The sequence below is a fragment of the Homo sapiens genome, chromosome 11 (genome assembly GCF_000001405.40).
Source record: "Homo sapiens chromosome 11, GRCh38.p14 Primary Assembly".
In the NCBI taxonomy this organism is placed as follows: Eukaryota; Metazoa; Chordata; class Mammalia; order Primates; family Hominidae; genus Homo; species Homo sapiens.
The window spans coordinates 108,089,799-108,111,841 of NC_000011.10; the positions used below are offsets into that span (position 1 = coordinate 108,089,799).

Here is a 22,043-nt window from a genome sequence, read left to right on the forward strand (position 1 = left end):
GGAGGCCGAGGCAGGTGGATCACCTGAAGTCAGGAGTTCAAGACTAGCCTGACCAACATGGCAAAACCGCGTCTCTACTAAAAATACAAAAATTAGCTGGATGTGCTGGTGCACTCCGGTAATTCCAGCTGCTTGGGAGGCTGAGGCAAGAGAATCACTTGAACCCAGGAGGTGGAGGTTGCAGTGAGCCAAGATCGTGCCATTGCACTCCAGCCTGGGTAACAGAGTGGGACTCCATTTCAAAAAAAAAAGAATATACCATCAATTATATAAAATAAAGTGATATCTAATAAATGTTCTTAATACTTTCAGTAAAGTATCTTTGTTCTTGAGTTGTTTCTACTGTTTCACTCCCATTTGTACCTCAACTCTCATTTAAACTGACCTTATTAATAAATAGACTACAGGGGCTGGGCACGGTGGCTCACACCTATAATCCCAGCACTTTGGGAGGCCAAGGCAGGTGGATCACAAGGTCAGGAGATCGAGACCATCCTGGCTAACACAGTGAAACCCAGTCTCTATTAAAAATACAAAAAAATTAACGAGGCGTGGTGGTGGGGGGCCTGTAGTCCCAGCTACTTGGGAGGCTGAGGCAGGAGAATGGCATGAACCCTGGGGGGCGGAGCTTGCAGTGAGCTGAAATCGAGCCACTGAACTCCAGCCTGGGTGACAGAGCAAGACTCCATCTCAAGAAAAATAAAATAAATAAATAGACTGCAGGACAAATTATTATATCTTTAAGGTATTTTCAGTACTAAATGCTTAACTTTAGAGATGTTTATAAATGATAACAATAAATACTTCTGTATAGCAAAAAGAACCTTTAAATGATGGCCTATTTAGGGTAATCAATGCTGATTATAACTAAATTCCCATATAAAGTATTTTGAGTTCTTTTTTTGTTTTAATTATTAAAGTAAATATCTTTAATTTCTGTGTATGTATATAACTCTCTCCACATATATATGGAGAGAGAGAGAGTGCGAGCAAGCACACACGAGAGAGACCTACAGATATTTTAACTTATAGCTAGCCCTTCGCATGGAACTTTAGGATAGTAAAAATTACTGTGCTAACTGAAACTGCTTAGTAGGAAAAAGAATGATTATTCTGTGACTTTTTAAAACTATTGTCAAAAGACTCAAAACTCTTACTGTCACTTATAAGTATATAGGAAAAAGGGGAAAATAGCAAAACTAATACATATTTACTACGAGAAACCTTTAGAATTAAATTTTCTTTCTTTCTTTCTTTTTTTCTTTTTTTTGGAGATGTAGTCTTGCTGTGTTACCCAGGCTGGATTGCAGTGGTGCAATCTTGACTCACTGAAACCTCTGTCTCCCAGATTCAAGCAATTCTCCTGTCTCAGCCTCCTAAGTAGCTGGGACTACAGGTTTGTGCCATGACGCCTGGCTAATTTTTGTATTTTTAGTAGAGACACGGTTTTGCATGTTGGCCAGGCTGGTCTTGAAATCCTGGTCTTAAGTGATCCGCCTGCCTCGGCCTCCCAAAGTACTGAGATTACAGGCGTGAGCCACCACACCCGGCCTATGTTATTTCTTTGTTAAAAAAAAAATATCAAGACCCAACAGTAAAATGACAAACAAGGCTAGGCATGGTGGCTCACACCTGTAATCCCAGCACTTTGGGAGGCTGAGGAGGGCAGATGGCTTGTGCTCAGAGTTTGAGATGAGCCTGGGCAACGTGGTGAAACCCCATCTCTACAAAAATTTAAAAAATTAGCTGGGTGTGATGGCATGCACCTTAGTCCCAGCTGCTTGGGAGGCTGAGGTGGGAGGATCGCCTGAGCCTGTGAGGTGGAGGTTGCATTGAACAGAGATCTTACCACTGTACTCCTGCCTGAGCAACAGAGTCAGATCCTGTCTCTCTCACTCACACACACACACACACACACACACACACACACACACGACAAATAATTAAAAGCAGGCAAAGGATTCGAATTGACATCTCTTCACAGAAGATAGACAGATGGCCAATAAGTGCATGCAAAGATACTCAACATCATTAGTCATTAGTGAAATGCAAGTGAAATGCTCAACATGTTGGCTCCTGCTTATCCCAAATATTTTGAAAGGCTGAGGTGGGAGGATTGCATGAAGCCAGGAGTTAGAAACTACCCTGGGCAAAATAACAATACTCCATGTCTACAAAAAATACAGAAATCAGCTAGGCATGGTGATGTGTGCCTGTGGTTCTAGCTACTCAGGAGGCTGAGATGGGATGATTGCTTGAGCCCAGAAGTTCAAAGTTGTAATGAGCTGAGATTGTGCCACTGCACTGCAGCCTGGGCAACAGAGTGAGACCCTTTCTCAAAAACAAAAAAAACACAAAGAGATACTACTTTATTCCCACTAGGGTAGCTAAAATAAAGACAGATGATAACAAATGCTAGTAAGGAAGAGGAGAAATTGGAACCTTCGTAAGTTGCTAGTGGAGACATAAGATGGTGCAGACACTTTGGAAAACTGTTGGGCAGTTCCTTAAAATGTTGAACGTAGAGCTGACCCAGCAATTTCACTCTTAGGTAATTCATTTGAAGAGAAATGAAAACATGTTTCATGTAAAAACTTGTAAACAAATGTTCATGGCAAGATTACTAATAATAGTCAAAAAGTGGAAACAACCCAAAATGTCAGTGAGCTAATGAATAAAATGTGATTTATCCATACAATGGAATATTTTTTGTGATAAAAAGGAATAAACTAATAATACATGCTGCAATATTAGGTGAACTTTGAAAACATAATGCTGAGTGAAAGAAGCCAATCCCAAAGACCATATCGTATGATTCCACTAATGTGAAGTGTCCAGAATAGGCAAATCCACAAATTCCAGGAGTTGGGGCCAGGAGGGGAAATGACGAGTGACTGTAAATAGTATGGGGTTTCTTTTTGGGGTGATGAAAATGTTCTAAAATTAGATAGTGGTGATGGTTGCACAGTTCTGTAGATATACTAAACTTCATTACACTGTATATTTTATTTTTATTTTTATTTTTTATATTTTTTTGAGACAGAGTCTCACTTTGTTGCCCAGGCTGGAGTGCAGTGGTGCGATCTTGGCTCACTGCAACTTCTGCCACCCAGGTTCAAGCGATTTTCCTGCCTCAGCCTCCTGAGTAGCTGGGATTACAGGCGCATGCCACCATGCCCAGCTAATTTTTGTATTTTTAGCAGAGATGGGTTTCACCATGTTAGCCAGGCTGGTCTTGAACTCCTGACCTCAGGTGATCCACCCGCCTCAGCCTCCCAAAGTGCTGGGATTACAGGCATGAGCCCAGCCAAATTGTATACTTTAAAATAGTAGATTTTATGGTAGATAAATTATCTGACACAGTAAAGCTGTTAATAAAGAGTAGTTTGAATAGCTTTTGCCTTCTTGTGTAACTTGACAGAGTAAGCATCTTTTCTTTGCCTTGGAGAGTTGTCACACCCCCTGTAATTTGGATGATCTTCTAGCATTTTATCTTTTGGGCTGTCAGTGTCATGAAATACTGAGAATTCCTTTATAGCATTTTTGCCAGGATCACTTCTTCTAGGGTATCTTATCTTTTTTGTCACTCACCACTTTTATCTTTTATGTTGGTAATTTGCTTTCACTAAGTTCCTCAACACTGGCATTGTCAGCCTTACTACCACAGTCAGCTTTCTTCTATAACTCCATTTATGTTCTATTTTATTTTCATTTCCAGCATTATCACTTTTCATTTCCTGTTTACTTTTATATCTTTGCCAATTATCTTGTTTGATTATTCTTTTTTGTAAGTAGTCATGTGGGTTTATTACTGGAAGACAAGGATGCAATGAAACTGCATACTTTGCTGTCTGCAGTTTAACTGAATAAACAAATGACTAATAGGTTGTGTTTACATTTTTTAAAAATTTATTTATTTAATTTTTTCAAGCAACAGGATCTTCTGTTGCCCAGGCTGGAGCGCAGTGACACAATCAGAGCTTAAACTCCTGGGCTCAAGCAATCCACCCACCTCAGCCTTCCGAGTAGCTGGGACTATCTCGGCAGTATGCCGCCATATCCTGCTAACTTTTAAAATTTTTTTGTAGTGATGGGGGTGTCACTGTGTTGCCCAGGCTGGTCTTAAAATCCTGGCTTCAAGTGATCCTCCTGCTTCAGCCTCCCAAAGTGCTAGGATTACACACCATGCCAACTAATAGATTTTGAAAGAAGTATTGTGGTTAGTCATTGTTACTTTTGTCATGATTTGTGGATCAAAGAGCTAGAAATAAAGTTTTTACTTCATGCAGTTAAATTTATTATATAGTGTCAACTGAAAGTTGAGCTTTGTTCTTGGGGAATTGGTATTATTTAACTGTACTGTGGTAACTGAAATTCATACATACTAAAAATGCGCAAAGCAGGGACCCCTTGTAATACCGTATTTTGTTTCTAAGTAGCAAATTTCATAGGTATTAGACAATAAAATTCTAATAAATGAGAAAAATTTTGTATTAAAACATTTAAGACTTAGTTTTTCTATTAAAATTTTTCCCAGTAATATATCAGATTATGTATTTATTACCTCTTCCTTCTTTGGTTTATATTTATAGGAAGTTGGTATGCCAGCGGATTATGTAAACAAGCTTGCTAGAATGTTTCAGGACATAAAAGTATCTGAAGATTTGAACCAAGCTTTTAAGGAAATGCACAAAAATAATAAATTGGCATTACCAGGTATTATTTTATAATTACATGTATATATTTTTTAAACTTAGAAGAATATCTTTGTTTTCCAGTAAATTAAAAATAAACCTCAGCAGTAATAGATCGAAAGATGTTATGAAGTCCATTTCCGTGGAGACAGCTATCAAAGCAGTGTGTTAGATTTACAGATCTTTATTTCAAAACAAAAGGACACTTTTAACAAAATCTTTATAGTCTTATTGATTTTTCACCCAAAGTTACCCTGTATTTATTTTGAATTTTATCCATTGTTAATTTACTTTATATTCCTGATATTCTTCTCTATAGCTGATTCAGTTAATATAAAAATTCTGAATGCTGGCGCCTGGTCAAGAAGTTCTGAGAAAGTCTTTGTCTCACTTCCTACTGAACTGGAGGACTTGATACCGGAAGTAGAAGAATTCTACAAAAAAAATCATAGTGGTAGAAAATTACATTGGCATCATCTCATGTCAAATGGAATTGTAAGTAGATAGTGTGTTAGTTATTTCAGCTTTCAGTTTGGATGAAAGTAGCAGGACTCCGCAGAATTGCTTAAACAAAATAGATTTTTGCCTCTCTCACATGTAAAAGTTTGAGCAGAAATAGTGAATTTTTTTCATGAAGTTGATAGGGACATAGGCTTCTGGTTATACCATCATACTTAAGATACTGCCGTTGTCTACAGAATTCAACATGATCCCAACTATCTCAGTATTCCTGGCAACAGAAAGCAAAAGGTGAGGGTAGCTTACACCTTTCATTAGGGACAACTTCTAGAAGTTTCCTCTGTCATTTTCCATTTGCATCCGCCAGTACTCAGTCACTTGGCCACATTTTGTTACATGGAAAGCTGGGAGATGAGCGTGTATTCTGGGCAGTCATTAACGTCTTCTAAAATGTTTATTACTGTGAAAGAGTGGATACTGGAAGACAGCAACCTTTTTCATATATAAATTCATGTCATAGATATTAAGAGAGAATCATCATGAGATTCTTTATTAAAAATCTGTTTTATCTATTATAGATAACATTTAAGAATGAAGTTGGTCAATATGATTTGGAGGTAACCACGTTTCAGCTCGCTGTATTGTTTGCATGGAACCAAAGACCCAGAGAGAAAATCAGCTTTGAAAATCTTAAGCTTGCAACTGAACTCCCTGATGCTGAACTTAGGAGGACTTTATGGGTTGGTTTATGTTTTTTTGTTTTTAAGACTGTATCCTCTCATGTAGCAGGAAATATATGATTGGCTTGTAATATATTAGTAAATTCATAACAGTTTCAGAATGTCTTATCAAGAAAAATAGAGGCCGGGCACAGTGGATCACGCCTGTAATCCCAGCACTTTGGAAGGCCGAGGTGGGCAGATCACTTGAGGTCAGGAGTTCGAGACCAGCCTAGCCAACATAGTGAAACCCCATCTCTACTAAAAATACAAAAATTAGCTGGGCGTGGTGGTGGGCGCCTGTAATCCCAGCTACTTGGGAGGCTGAGGCAGGAGAATCGCTTGAATTCAGGAGGTAGAGGTTGCAGTGAGCCAAGATTGCGCCACTACACTCCAGCCCAGGCAACAGAGTGAGAACTCCGTCTGAAAAAAAAAAAAAATTATGCACACACACACACACACGAGATATTTATGGAAAAAATAAATTGCAAATAGGCAAGTTACCAAGGCAGAGAAAAGTGCTTCAAAAAAAAGGAGAGGCTGGGGCAGTGGCTCATGGCTGTAATCCCAGCACTTTGGGAGGCCAAGGTGGGAGAAGAGGATTGCTTGAACTCAGGAGTTTGAGACTAGCTAGGCAACATAGTGCAATCCCATCTCTAAAAAAAAAAAAAAAAAACAAATTAGCCAGCTTGGTGGCTGTATCCCCAGCTACTTGGAAGGCTGAGGTGGGAAGATTGCTTGAGCCCAGGAGGATGCAGTGAGCCACAATCACACCACTGCACTCCAGCCTGGGCAACATAGTGAGACCCATCTCAAAAATTTTTTTTTTTAAAAAAGAGAAAGATTGAGTTGGTATTTAAGTGTTACCTGTGAGGAATGTGACCAGCTATGTACTTTTTTTTTTTTTTTTTTTTTTTTTTTGAGACACTCTTGTCGCTCAGGCTGGAGTGCAATGGCGCAATCTCAGCTCACTGCAACCTCCGCCTCCAGGGTTTAAGCGATTCTCCTACCTCAGCCTCCCAAGTAGCTGGAATTACAGGCATGTGCCACCACACTCAGCTAATTTTATATTTTTAGTGGAGACGGGGTTTCACCATGTTGGTCAGGCTAGTCTCAAACTCCTGACCTCAGGTAATTTGCCCGCCTCGGCCTCCCAAAATGCTGGGATTACAGGCCTGAGCTACTGTGCCTCAGATACATACTTAATTTTTATACTGAGAATGTGTTCAAAGATTTTATGATAATCAAAAATCTAAAAACTTTGGTCTGTTTGAGGACTTGTAGATTGTACTCATTAGCCCCCTGCTCACAACTACATTTTATTACTACTCCATAGACCTCTTAAAAGTTCCAGGTTTTTTTGTTGAGACAGAGTCTTGCTCTGTCCTCCAGGTTGGAGTTCAGTGGCACAATCTCAGCTCACTGCAACCTCCATCTCCCAGGTTCAAGCGATCCTCCCACCTGAGCCCCCCAAGTAGCTGGGACTACAGGTGCATGCCCCACGCTGGCTAATTTTTGTATTTTCAGTAGAGACGGGGTTTTGCCGTGTTGCCCAGGCTGGTTTCAGACTCCTGAGCTCAAGTAATCTGCCTGCCTCAGCTTCCCAAAGTGCTGGAATTACAGGCGTGAGCCACTGCACTTGGCCTGAAGTTCCAAAATTAATTATTACCTATGGAGGAAATAGCTGGTATATAACTGGCAGATGGTGTTTACTATGGTCCTGTGTGACCAATCCCAGTTTCTTGTCTTACTGTAAAGAGAGCATTTATTGCTTTCTCATAACCAACTCTTTTCACCTCTTCTCTTTCCTCATTATGCATTCAAATGTTATATTCATGGAAGTACCACACATTTTAAGTTTGTGTTTGTAATCTTTTTCTTGCCTATGTTGATTATGTGGGAGAATTGATCTTAGTATTCCATACTGTTTATAGATGCTAATTGTTTTCTCCTTATTCTTCATAGTCTTTAGTAGCTTTCCCAAAACTCAAACGGCAAGTTTTGTTGTATGAACCTCAAGTCAACTCACCCAAAGACTTTACAGAAGGTACCCTCTTCTCAGTGAACCAGGAGTTCAGTTTAATGTAAGCTCGTTAGTTGATCTAAAATAAAAACACCTTGTTTGAATTTTAGCACTTTGTTTTTTGCAAAATAATTGTTTTCCTTACATTATATTTAAAACATTATATACTGTCATCACTCTAAACTTACATCATTTAGTTGTTTATGGAAAATATTAATCAGATGTTTACTTTTCTATATTTTTCATTGATACATTTTTGGTCTCTGACATTATACTGTATTGCATTTCATCTTTCAGGTTGATATCTTTTTGTGCTCTAAAGCAACTTTATTCAGAGAAAGCGTTTTTTGTGTTGTTTTGTTTCGTTTTTGTTTTTGTTTTTGTTTTTGTTTGTTAAGACCCAGTTAGGCAATAACACTGAATCCTAACCCATATATCTTCAATTAGCTAGTCACTTTCATGGCAATATAAAATATTAACTTTGTTTTTACAGAGAATGTAGTCACTTGTTTTATTAACAGGTTAGTTATCATGTTTAAGGAAAATACATAGAGTTTGTTTTAAAGCAATATGTAGGTTATTTGTCATTTAACCTTTAAACAGTTCTGATATTTTAGCATATTTTTAAATCTTTTCTCTCAGACATTGTTGCTATAATAGGATTTTTAAAGTGTTTTTCACCATAAAATACTTGATGCAATTCTTTTTGTAGAAAAAATGCAAAGGTTCAGAAAAGGGGTAAAATCAACTTGATTGGACGTTTGCAGCTCACTACAGAAAGGATGAGAGAAGAAGAGAATGAAGGAATAGTTCAACTACGAATACTAAGAACCCAGGTTTGTAATGTTGACAGAATGTCTGAAGTTTAAAAAAACTTTAGTTTTTTTTTTTTTTTTTTAAATTTTGAAATCTTTTTTGAATTTAAAAGCATGTAGGGGCTAAGTGCAGTGGCCCACACATAATCCCAACACTTTGGGATGCTGAGGCAGGATTTCTTGGGCAACAAAGTGAGATCTTGTCTCAATCAATTTTTTAAAAATATATTAAAAATTTCCATTCCAGTTGAAATATGAATTCCAGTTTCATATTCCATTGTAATGTGAAATTAGGAAACTTATTTAGAACCAAAAAAGTTCTCTAATATTCATTTCTTCTTTTAAAAACAGTTTAAAACTAGGATTAAGACCTTCTGAATATAATAAGTAACACCTACACATGATTGTTTTAATTTTAGAAATAGTCCTTTTAAAACCAAATTTTTCAACTTTTACTATTTTCATTTAATACTATTTGAAACTTCTGGCCAGTGTACTTTTTTTTTTTTTTTTTGAGACAGGGTCTCACTTTGTTGCCCAGGCTAGAGTGCAGTGGCACCATCTTAACTCACTGCAGCCTCAACTCCCTGGGCTCAAAGGATCCTCCCACCTCTGCCTCCGGATTAGCTGGGACCACAGGCATGCGCCACCACACTCAGCTAATTTTTGTATTTTTAGTGGAGACAGGGTTTTGCCATGTTGCCCAGGCTGGTCTCGAACTCCTGGGCTCAAGCAATATGCCTCCCTCGGCCTCCCAAAGTGCTGGGATTACAGGTGTGAGCTACCATGCCCAGCCCAGTGTACTTTTTAAAATATAAAACAAGACGAAAAGATTAAAAATGCATATTACCTATAGATCATGTAATAGGATAATGTGGCAGAGAAAAGATGAATGAATAAAAACCAATTGCATTTCTATGGGGCAATAAATAAAAGGAGAATAAAATAAGAAAAATACATACACATTTTTTAAAAAGTACTGTGTAGGAGCTGTATGAAAAGAGTGGCCCTTTACTGGGAGATTCAGAAGGAGAGTTGAATAAATAGAAAGGTTGAGCTCTTTTTTTGTTGCTAAAATTTTTAGTTGTAATTTAGACACAATGGAATGTATCTTTCAAAGTATAATTTTCAGTGAGTTGTGATAAATATATATACCTATGTGAACATTACCCAATTAAGATACAGAACATTTGTGTCACACCAGTCATCTTCCCATGTTTCCAGGCAGGCTCTCCGCCTACCCCAGCTGATTCTTATTACCATCACTTAGTTCTGCCAGTTCTAGGTTTTCATATAAATGGAACCAGACAGTATGTACTTTTATGTCTGACTTTTTTTGCTCAGCATGAAAAACTATATTCTTCCATTAAAGGTTGAATAACTTAAACAAAAAAAAAATTTTTTTTTTTTTTTAATGGACTCAAGCGATCCTCCTTCAGCCTTCCCAGTAGCTGGGACTACAGGCACATGCCACGGCACCTGGCAGCTAGGCTGAATAACATAAAAGATTGGTTTTTCTGATATTAATATCAAGTTCAAAATTTTAAAATTTCACATGAAAATTCAACTAGGAATATTTTTGGAATTTTACAAATTGTTTTTTATCAGAATAAATAAGAATGATTGAGAAACTTAAAAAAATAAAAAAAAGGTGGTAGTGGTGGAACTTGCCCTGCCAAATACGAAAATATTTTAAAAATCTGTAGTAATAAAACAGTATGGCAAGAAGATTAATTGAAGAAAATAACTTTAGGCTCGGCGCGGTGGCTCACACCTGTAATCCCAGCACTTTGGGAGGCCGAGGTGGGCAGATTGCCTGAGGTCAGGAGTTCAAGACCAGCCTAGCCAACATGTTGAAGCCCTGTCTCTACTAAAAATACAAAAACTAGCCAGCTGTGGTGGCGCATGCCTGTAATCCCAGCTACTTGGGGGTGCTGAGGCAGGAGAATTGCCTGAACCTGGCGGGCAGAGGTTGCAGTGAGCCTAGATTGCGCCACTGCACTCCAGCTTGGGCAATAGAGTGAGACTCCATCTCAAAAAAAGCAAACAAAAACAAACAAAAAACCTTACTCTGTAAGTATAGAAGAATTTATACAATAAAGGAAATAATTTCTATGACCTATGGAAAGAAAATGAATTATTCACTAAGTGGTGTTGGGAAATTTTTCTGTTTGGAGGAAAAGTAAGAAGATATTCGTAGCTATGCCAGGATAAACTCCTGGAGTAAAGAGTTGAAATGTGGCCAGGCGCGGTGGCTCACGCCTGTAATCCCAACACTTTGGGAGGCCGAGGCGGGTGGATCACAAGGCCAGGAGATCGAGACCATCCTGGCCAACATGGTGAAACCCCGTCTCTACTAAAATACAAAAAACTAGCCAGGTGTAGTGGTGCATGCCTGTGGTCCCAGCTACCCAGGAGGCTGAGGCAGGGGAATGGCTTGAACCTGGGAGGCGGAGGTTGCAGTGAGCGGAGATCGCGCCACTGCACTCCAGCCTGGCAACAGAGCAAGACTCCATCTAAAAAAAAAGAGTTGAAATGTATAAGCGGGTGTAGTCGTACGATAAGATGTGCAGAGAAATTGAAGTTCTTTTGTTTTGTCTTAATGTGACCCATAATTATGTACAATCCAATAATCTAAGCTGTCTTTAGGTAATGCTCAGACTTTATTTCCTCCTGATCCTACTCCATTCATCCTCATTCATTGCTATTTGCATAGGTGGCATCTGGATATATTGAGTGTGAGAGGGATTTGCTTGACTGGTAATGACAGTAAAGGGAGTGTCATATCTATGCAGTTATGACAGTGTCCTGGATTCTTGCTTTTGGCAGCTATGAAGTAGTTGATTATCTTTGGGAATTTGGCTTTCTGTTGGTAACTGCTGCTGTTGTCTACAGCAGATGAATTTATGGTTCATTCTTTTTCTAGTTGCTAAGGGCCCCATGGCCTCTTCCCTGCTCTCTTTCCCCTGCTCTTACTGAGCTCTTGAAGCCTCTGAGACTCCACTACATCTTCTGTGTGGCTCCTTGGCCTACATGGCACACTGTCATTGTTCTCTGCAGAATAATGACAGGATCACCTTGCCCTGTCATTAAAGGCCCTGTGGCAGGTCCATTAGCTCGAAACTCTTGCTGTCACACTTGGGAACTGAGGGAGAGTCAGAAGTGCAGATTATTTCCCTCATACTGTGCTACTCTTTAAGTGACCTCCAGCATATCAAATGGGGACCAGGGCCAGTGTCCCTCTGCTCTCTTTTCCTCTTAGGTTCTCTAACTACCACCTTCACCTCTATCTAAGGAGAAACTGGGATGTTTACAAATGCCTCTGCTTTTCCTCTGGGTTCCTGTAATCTTCAAGTGCCTGAAGGAACACACTTTCCTTCTTCCTTCTTCCTCTCTGAACCCCTGACATAAACCCCAATTTATGATGATCAGGAGCCTGGTATCTGAATACCATCAAGGGTGAGAGGAATTCACTTGACCTTCTGGTGTCATCATATCTTTTATTTATTTTTGTTTATTTTATTTTATTTTGAGACAGGGTCTCACCCTGTTGCCCAGGCTGGGGTGCAATGGTGTGATCTTGGCTCACTACAACCTCCACCTCCCAGGTTCAAATGATTCTCCTGCCTCGGACTCCTGAGTAGCTGGGATTAGAGGTGCTCGCCACCACACTGAGCTATTTTTTGTATTTTTTGTATTTTTAGTAGAGATGGGTTTCACCATGTTGGCCGGGCTGATCTCGAACTCCTGACTTCGTAATCCGCTCCCCTTGGCCTCCTAAAGTGCTGGGATTACAGGCGTGAGCCACCATGCCCGGCCTATTTTTCTATTCTTTTGAGACAGGGTCTCACTCTGTCACCCAGGCTGGAGTGCAGTGGTACAATCTCAGCTCACTGCAACCTCTGCCTTTCAGGCTCAAGTGATCCTCCTGACTCAGCCCCCTGCGTAGCTGGGACCACAGGCGCGTGCCACCATACCCAGCTAATTTGTTTTTGTATATTTTGTAGAGATGGGGTTTCGCCATGTTGCCTAGGCTGGTCTCAAACTCCACGACTCAAACGATCCACCCACCTCAACCTCCCAAATTGCTGGGATTGCAGGCATGAGCCACCCTCCCTGGCTGGTTATCATATCTATATAGGGGAAGTTGAAGGAGTTTTTCTCTTACTGAATAGTGCCTGACTCCCAAGTCTGTTGATTTGCAGCAAAATTATATTTTTAAACGTTAAAAGCAAATGTTACTTCTTTTTCTATTTTGACATTTCTTTTACAACAAACTCTAATCTGTGCTAAGATAGATATATGCCTTTTGTTTTGGAGACAGGGTCTCAGGCTGTGGTGCAGTGGTGTGATCTCAGCTTACTGCAACCTCCACCTCCCAGGCTCAAGCAATCCTCTTTCTTCAGCCTCCTGAATAGCGGGGACCACAGACACACGCCACCATGCCTGGCTAATTTTTGTATTTTTTATAGAGATGGGGTTTCGCCATGTTGCCCAGGCTGTTCTCAAACTCCTGGACTCAAGCAATCCACCCACATCACCCTCCCAAAGTGCTAAGATTACACACATGAGCCACCACACCCGGCATATACATGCCTTTTGTTGGGTAAAGAGAGAGCTGGTACTGGAAAAGGTAAAAGAGAAAAGAATATTTAATGATTTTCTGATAACTCTTATTGTAAACTTAACAGTAATTAAGGAAATCATCAAGAAAAATTTTGATAAAATGACCTAGATGAAAAAGATTTATTTCTTTAGAAACTTAAAAGTGACTGGGCATCGTGGCTTACACCTGTAATCCTAGCACTTTGGGAGACCAGGGCAGGGGAGTATTTGAGTCTGGGGGTTCAAGACCAACCTGGACAACATAGCAAAACCTTGTGTCTGTATTTAAAGAGAAGAAGGGGAAAAAAAAAACCTTAAAAACATTTAATTGAGTCAATATAAACTGAAGATAATATTTGTAGCAAATATAATTAATTAATCTGGTAAATATATAAAGAGTACTACTTAATGACTTTTAAAACAGACCCCACCTGACCTGTACTGCTATACAAAGAAATAACTGAATACAAGGGAAAAATTTGGTGTAAGGGGTTTGTTATATTTTAATTAATGTTTAACATGATACCAGGTTATATACACATTGTTTTCACAGGTAAGATAACTTTTAAGAATGTGAATGGCATGGGAAAAAAGGAATTGAAGGAAATAATATTAAAACATTAGGTGTAGTTTTCTTTCAGCAGAGAAGCAGAGGTAATTTTGCTTTTCCTTATTTTTCAAAATCTCTATAGTCAGATTTTTTTTAAATACATACTTTAAGTTCTGGGATACATATGCAGAATGTGCAGGTTTGTTACATGGGTATACACGTGTCATGGTCATTTGCTGCACCCATCAACCCGTCATCTACATGAGGTGTTTCTCCTAATGCTTATCCCTCCCCTATCCCCCCACCCCAATAAGCAGATTCTCTTTTATGGGGCATGAGAAAACAAAAGATGTTTTTATTTGTTAAGTAAAAGATACTAGTCTCAACATTAATCCCCTAGTGATTATTATTCATTTGGGTAGATGTTGGATAGAGGATGAATATGCATAAAAAGTCATTTTTCAGTTTGTTGTACTTAAAATAATTTCGTATATTAATGCGCTTTTATTTTTATTTTTTCTTTTAGGAAGCTATCATACAAATAATGAAAATGAGAAAGAAAATTAGTAATGCTCAGCTGCAGACTGAATTAGTAGAAATTTTGAAAAACATGTTCTTGCCACAAAAGAAAATGATAAAAGAGCAAATAGAGTGGCTAATAGAGCACAAATACATCAGAAGAGATGAATCTGATATCAACACTTTCATATATATGGCATAATTTTGAATATCATGGACAATATTTAGAACCCAAATTTTGGAGTGCTTGGGCAGAAAGTTGTAAAGTTTGTGCTGGAGAAAGGTTTATTTGGACTTTGATTACATAAATATTAAAATCTCTGCCTTACCTTACAAAAACAACTATATTTTGCCAATCACATTAGTTAGCATGATGGCATTCCCTTCATGTTGCACACTCTTTGACAGCATGCTGTTTTGTGGAGAAACTTGCATTCATGAAGAGCCCATTATCAACTTTTAAAAGTGAATTTGATTTGTACCCACCAGGAGAAATACAGTTGGGAAGGGTGAGGGTGGGGTTCTTGTTGCTTTTTTCTCTTTTTTCCTCTCTTAAAAAATGTACTTGCACAAGGAAGGATCTTCAGATATTCATGCACTGAAAAATGCTGTTATCTTTTGTTTTTAAAAAATGCAATTAAAACTAGAAATAGCACTCTTGGTTTCTTTTGATGAAAAGAGTGAGCTGGTCAATGCAACATTGGGAAACGGCAGATGTAGGTGAGAAGTTAAGTATTTAATAGTATCAAATTGTTCAAACATTGCTCAGTATAATAACTGGATTTTAATGGTGACCTAAAAATGGTATTAAATATTTTCAACTTTCAAATGTTGGTTTTCTTTAAGCAGGAGACTGCTATTTTAGTTGTTGTTAAATGATGAGGAGTTTTTTTTTTTTTAAATATGGCTGGAAAGCTTGTTTTGAAAAATGAAGCTTATATTAATTGTTGCTTCAATAGTTTAAAAAATTTATGGAGATAGGTAGGTCATTATGATTGCAGAGCCAAAATAGCAAAACAAACATATTAAGTGTGTTTACTAAACATATTGTGTGTTTACTAACACACTTAATGTTTATATACCTAATATTTATTATGCCATATCTGAATTTATTAAAAACAACACAGAAATCTCCTGCTCTGATATAGTTATGTAACTGATCTCTTAATCTGTAGCATAGAAGTATTTTGGTATTTTAAGGTCTCATGATTAGGGATTTGTAGCCTCAGGTTTGAATCAGTCACCTAGGGGTAAGAGAAAAACCACAACATAAGACCTGAAAAACAGAAGCAAAATTGTTGCACTCTTAATACGAGCAGTAAACTTGCCAAATATATGTACATATATATTTATATATTTTAAAAATAAACATTTTTTAAATCGTCAGAAGGCAACATTTACCATGTTCCTTTCAGTCTATCCAAAGTAGCAACTTAACTAGTTGCTGGCAACTGAATACCCAGAGTAGTGGAAATTTTAGGACTTGAGGACGTGAACAACTTGAAAGAGAAAATTGATTCCCCTTGAGGAAAGAATGGCTCAACGTGGATTTTTATTCATTGTGGTGCACGTTTCAAATTTTCTTGCAAATTATTTTATATCTTATTTGATGTTAAGTAATATTTTTAAAGTATGGTTTTTGAAGATAGTAGGAAATGGAGTACAGAAAGGCATACAGTATTATGTTACAGTGGAGTGCTTTCAAGAGCATTTCGTAGGATCTGTCCCCATCCGAAGAGGCTTTGTGAACTGCCTGCTGAATGGAAGGAAAGCAACTTTAAAACATTTAGAGTTTTGCTGAGTATAGCCAAATGCCTGTTCTGAAACTTATAGGAAATTGGAATTTTGTTTAAAATTTTACACTTTAAGGTAGCAAATGTCAATTATTAGACCGAGCATATTGTGAAGAATTAAACTAAAATTAATACGTACAGTTTTCTCTAATTAGGTGACTGTTCATAATGGGTATATTTGGAATTTAGAAGAAATAATTTTGTAGTAATTGTGGCCCTTATGTTTAACAGATAATTCAGCATTGGCGTATTTGCTTGTCCCAATACAAGAATGCCAAAGGAGGAAACAGGAAAAATTGCCGTCCATTTTAAAAATTTAGGTTTGTTGTTTTAAACCATAATTGTTCTCAGAACTTTTTTGGAACTTCTAATTTTGGGTCATTTAATTTAAGAATGAGAGTCATGATGTTTTGATTTATGAAGGTGAATTTAATGCAAAAGTGGGTAACACTACATTCATAGCAAAGTTTTTTATTAAATTTTATAAATTTTTAATAGCCAATTATGTCCTAATTGTATTTTGGGGAATGAACAGCAGCAAATACTGTAAATGTACAGTTTTCTTTTTTTTTTTTTTTTGGTTATGTATACAAAAGTTTTAACTACTTTTTGGTGTTTATGAAAATCATTTAGTTGACAAGGTGCCTATGCCATTGTTAAATTTTCTTTAAGTAATTTAACAACAGATTTGCTAATTTAAAAAAAAATGAAAAAAAAAATCTTACCAGCAGTTTGTAAAGGTCTGGAATCACAGTTGGCATCCTTTATTCAGGTCTCTTCTCTCCAGCGTACACTTAAAATTGGTGCCGAGCAGGGATATAACCTGCAGTTAAGTGAAAAGAAAATCCAGCCTCCCCCTCCAAAAAAAAAAAAAAAATTTAATTTTTAAAAATTAGTGGTATGGCAATAAGACACTTCAGAGGCTATCTTAACCTCTGAATACCCATCTTCTAGTTTAAAGACAGAGACATCCCATCTGGAAAATGTTAACTTGTGTTGCCATCTCGTTGCCGGAGTAAGTAGACATAAGACAGAGTTTAAGAAGTAAAAATATAGAAAAATTTTGATGGTCACAATGAGATAAATATTAGAATATTACTATTCCAATGATTAAATGAGGATCTTGAAATAAATTCTGAAGTCTTCCAATTTTTACATTTATTGGAGGGGTCCCTGAGTTCTGTCAACTTTTTTATTTAAGTCTCTTGCTCTTATTTTGTGCATAAATGTTAAACCTTCCAAAAATGAAATGTTAGCTTTCTTTCTTTTACTTTTTATTAAATTTAATAGAAAATATGACCTGAGTAGTTAAAAAGTATTTTGCATTATTTGCAGTAAGATGTCTCTAGCACTGCTCAAAGGGCAAATTTTAAAACTTCAGTCTGGGTGAAAGATTTGCTAGTTTTACAGAAAGATTTGCTATCTTAAACTCAAGCTGGTTTTTCTGTTCTCATGTAAGTGACTGGGATGCTGTCTTATGAATTCTTCCAAGGTCATGTTTGTGAAATAAACATTACATGAGAGCTTTCCTGTCATCTACACTATATGTTGTCTGGAGTGTTGAACAAATTTATTTTAGTTTCTAAGTTGTAATCTATCCTCATATGGTCTATACGATTTTGAATGTGTGCCACTACATACTGAGATGATAATGCTGTACAATTTTAAGTGGTAGCAGTTTCTGTATGCAGTAGGCTGAAATATTTTGATGAACTGCTTAATTTTTGGATTTTATTTTTTAAGTTGTATAATTTATTTTCTTGCAAAATAAAAATGTAATATAAAAGCTTTTACCTATCCAGAAAATGTTGATGTTCTACTATAAAATAGTTACAAAGAGTTTAATTAAAATTTTTATAGTAGGTATATTTTTAAATTTGAAGGTAAATTAATCTCAGCCAGCCTTAGGAATCAGAAATATGAAAAGTAACCCACTTATTTATATTAGACTTCAAATTCTAATTCAAAATGAGAGCAGTCAGGAATGTAGCTTTTCCACTGATGATAGCATGTGGCTATATGCCTGGAAGAGGTAATAAAAAAAAAAAAATTCCAACCTGAAAGTGGTTAATATATTCATCAACTAAGATAGGCTATGTCATAACAAAATTCAAATTTTATAGCAGATAAAAGTAAAAAATGGGCCGGGCTCAGTGGCTCACGCCTGTAATCCCAGCACTTTGGGAGGCCAAGGTGGGTGGATCACCTGAGGACAGGAGTTCAAGACCAGCCTGGCAAACATGGTGAAACCCTGTCTCTACTAAAAATATAAAAATTAGCCGGGTGTAGTAGCGCGCGCCTGTAGTCCCAGCTACTCGGAAGGCTAAGGCAGGAGAATCGCTTGAACCCGGGAGGCGGAGGTTGCAGTGAACCAAGATTGTGCCACTGCACTCCAGCCTGGGCGACAGAATGAGACTGTCTCAAAAAAAAAAAAAAAAAAAAAAAAAAAGTAAAAAATGTAAAACATAATCATTTCACATTTTGGATATATTTGAAAATTTGTGAAATACTTATTTTTGTTTTTATTTTTATTTTTTGAGACAGAGTCTCACTTTGTCACCCAGGCTGGAGTGCAGTGGCGCGATCTCGGCTCGCTGTAAGCTCCATCTCCTGGGTTCATGCCATTCTCCTGCGTCAGCCTCCCGAGTAGCTGGGACTACAGGCGCCTGCCACCACACCTGGCTAATTTTTTGCAGTTTTAGTGGAGACAGGGTTTCACCATGTTAGCCAGGATGGTCTCAATCTCCTGACCTCGTGATCTAGCTGCCTCGGCCTCCCAAAGTGCTGGGATTACAGGTGTGAGCCATCGCGTCTGGCCTGAAATACTTATTTTTAAGCTAGAAATAGTTTGGCAATAAGGTTGTGAAACTGGACAGATAATAGCAATTAGTTACTGATCAAGTGAACAATTTAATAATCGAAAAAACTCTTGACTATAAGAAACTTGAATTGCATACAGGGACTTAATTACCCAGAGGAACTAAATTTAAAAGAAATTTCAGGCTGGGCGCAGTGGCTCACACCTGTAATCCCAGCACTTTGAGAAGGTGAGGTGGGCAGATCACTTGAGGTCAGGAGTTCAAGAACAGCCTGGCCAACATGGCAATACCCCATCTCTACTAAAAATACATACCTGTAATCCCAGCTACTCAGGAGGCTGAGGCATGAGAATCACTTGAGCCTGGGAGGTGGAGGTTGTAGCAAGCTGAGATCGCACCACTGCGCTCCAGCCTGGGCAACAGGGCCAGACTAATTCATTCATTGATTCATAAATAAATGTTATAGAGCTCCTTTACATTGAGGGATCATTTCTTGTTCCTACTGTAGTAGTCAATAAATGTTTTGGACAACTGGATGGAGGAACACATTTGACTTCATAACGACTCTAAACTCAACCTTGGACTTAAACTGGCATTTGGGAGTTTGGGGTTGGGGGAGGAGTTGACTTGGAAATGAAGCTAGAGAAGGTATTTTCTCAGTATAAAATTTCATCTGAACCAAGAAACAGATTTCATTTAAACCAAGAAATAAGCTTAAGCTTTTGGGCCCCTTGTACAAGGCTCTGGGAGGGGGAGCCCTACAAGTTTTGTATTTTCTTAAAGAGGGTCCTCAAAATATCAAGTTGGATTCAGCCCTGTTAAACCTCAGTGTAAAAAGGGCACATAGTAGGACTGAATGAATGATAGCACATGTGCCTGAGAATATAGTTCAATGTTTTAGTTCTTTTTTTTTTTTTTTTTTTTTTTTTGAGATAGAGTTTCTGTCACCTAGGCTGGAGTGCAGTGGCACAATTGCAGATCATTGCAGCCTTGAACTCCTGGGCTCCAGTGATCCTCCCACTTTAGCCTCCTGAGTAGCTGGGACCACAGGCACACACCACCTAGGTAATTTTTTTTTTATTTGCCTAGGTAATTTTTTTTTTATTTGCGGAGAGGAGGTCTCACTATGTTGCCCAGGCTGGTTTCGAACTCCTGAGTTCGAGCAGTCCTCCTCCCTTGGCATCCAGGAGTGCTGGGATTACAGGCATGAGCCACCGCACTCGGCCAATATTTTACATTTTAAGTGTGGAGACTTTATTTCCCATTCCCCATTCTGGGCTATACAATAGAATATGGACTTTTTATATCACGGAACTCCTGTTTTGACAGTGTACAACCCAGAGCAGGGTGACAATTTAGATTAACAATTGATGGTGAGAGTTGAGTTCTAGACTTTTGTGAACATCTGATTAAAGCAAAATACATGCATATAAAAATATAAACAAGTGCATATATAAATGTTAAGAGTTAACACACCCAAGCTTAGAAATCTTTAATAGTGATGTCCTGGAGTGCGTAAAATGAGTAACAGCTTGCTTTGTGGATTGGTCATGGCCTAACTTCAGGAGCGCTGATCCAAACTTTGATTTGCTCTACTTATCTAGAGAATAACAGAAGACTTCTCTGAGTGTTAATGGCTTCTTCCTATTTTACTTAATAATAAAGGAAATAGAGTATTTCCTTTTTTCCTTTATTATGCTGTAATTACTGAGCCAGACTGATACTGTTTAGATTTTTCTTCAGCAGTGGTTGATGGTCGAGGTGTGGCTCACACCTCTAATCCCAGCACTTTAGGAGACTGAAGCAGGAGGATCACTTGAAGCCAGGTTCAAGACCAGCCTGGGCAGCATAGTGAGGCCCCCATCTCCACAAAAATGTAAAAATTAGCCAGCGGTGGTTGGTTGCACAAACCTGTAGTCCCAGCTACTCAGGAGGCTGAGGCTGCAGTGAGCTGTGATTGTGCCACTGCACTCCAGTCTAGGGAACAGAGTGAGACTCTGTCTTAAAAATAAGTGGAACTTGGGAATACTTTAACATGTTGTTTTCCCATGGCTGCTAAATGTATAATTATTAATATTTACCCCTACTCTACCTTATCTCCTAAATTCTCAGTAGATGATATTGCTTTGAAAAAATAAACAGAGAAAATAAGGCCTTCAGGCATGAACTCTTAACTTGCCTTTTCTCCACCTGTAAACTTTACCTCTAATCATGTACATCTTCATCTGCCTGCCTGTCTCAGAGGAAGAGATCACCTCACTTGTTGCTCAAGACCAACTATTTTATCTTTTTCTGAATTCCATCCTCTCCTTCCCTCTGTGTTTTGCCTTTTAAATATCTCCATCGCATAAATGTTTCAAACATTCTTCTTTTGGATATTTTTTTCTTCGCCTACTCCAGTGGCTCTCCATTTTGGTCCACAGACCGGCAGCATTGTCACTTGTTGGAAGTGTAAGTTCTTGAGCTCCACCCTAGACCTACTCAATCAGAAACTTGTTCAGGTGAAGCCCAACAATCTGAATTTTAAGAAGCCCTCTAGGTGGTGCTGATGACAGTCAAGTTTGAAAATCACTGGCCTATATACATACTGAAGTACCCACCATGCTTGAAAAAATCCCTACCCCTTACCTCGGTCATGCTGTGGCCTTATTTTCCCCCTTCCCTTCTCTGCTAAACATGTTGGAAGAGCATTCCACAGTCTTACTGTCTAGATCTTTTTGAGATAGGGTCTTGCTCTATTACCCAGGCCAGACTAGAGTATAGTGGTATGATCACAGCTCACTGCAACCTCTACCATCTGGGCTCAAACGATGCTCTCACCTCAGCCTCCCCAAGTAGCTGGGACCACAGGTACATGCCACCGTGCCTGGCTTTTTTTCTTTTTTAATTTTTGCAGAGATGGGATCTTGCTGTGTTGCTCAGGCTGATCTTAAACTCCTGGCCTCAAAGGATCCTCCCATCTCTGCCTCCCAAAGTGCTGGGATTATTAGGCATGAGCTACCATGCTTGGCCTTTGTATTTTCAATATGGTAGTAATTGGCTCATGT

At 38.3% G+C, this 22,043-nt stretch overlaps 1 protein-coding gene across 5 annotated transcripts in view; it reads left to right on the plus strand.

Moving 5' to 3' along the window:
• Positions 1 to 17,963, plus strand: part of CUL5 (cullin 5) — a 98,864-nt gene extending 80,901 nt beyond the window's left edge. For 3 of the 5 annotated variants that reach the window (NM_003478.6, XM_005271682.3, XM_047427641.1), the window contains 6 exons: positions 4,593 to 4,716; positions 5,014 to 5,189; positions 5,732 to 5,893; positions 7,838 to 7,956; positions 8,608 to 8,731; positions 14,392 to 17,963. In NM_003478.6, coding sequence (NP_003469.2) covers positions 4,593 to 4,716; positions 5,014 to 5,189; positions 5,732 to 5,893; positions 7,838 to 7,956; positions 8,608 to 8,731; positions 14,392 to 14,586 — 900 coding nt within the window. In that variant the 3' untranslated portion in view covers positions 14,587 to 17,963. The remainder of the gene's footprint in view (positions 1 to 4,592; positions 4,717 to 5,013; positions 5,190 to 5,731; positions 5,894 to 7,837; positions 7,957 to 8,607; positions 8,732 to 14,391) is intronic. The other 2 variants (XM_017018363.3, XM_047427640.1) reach the window with 1 other exon arrangement.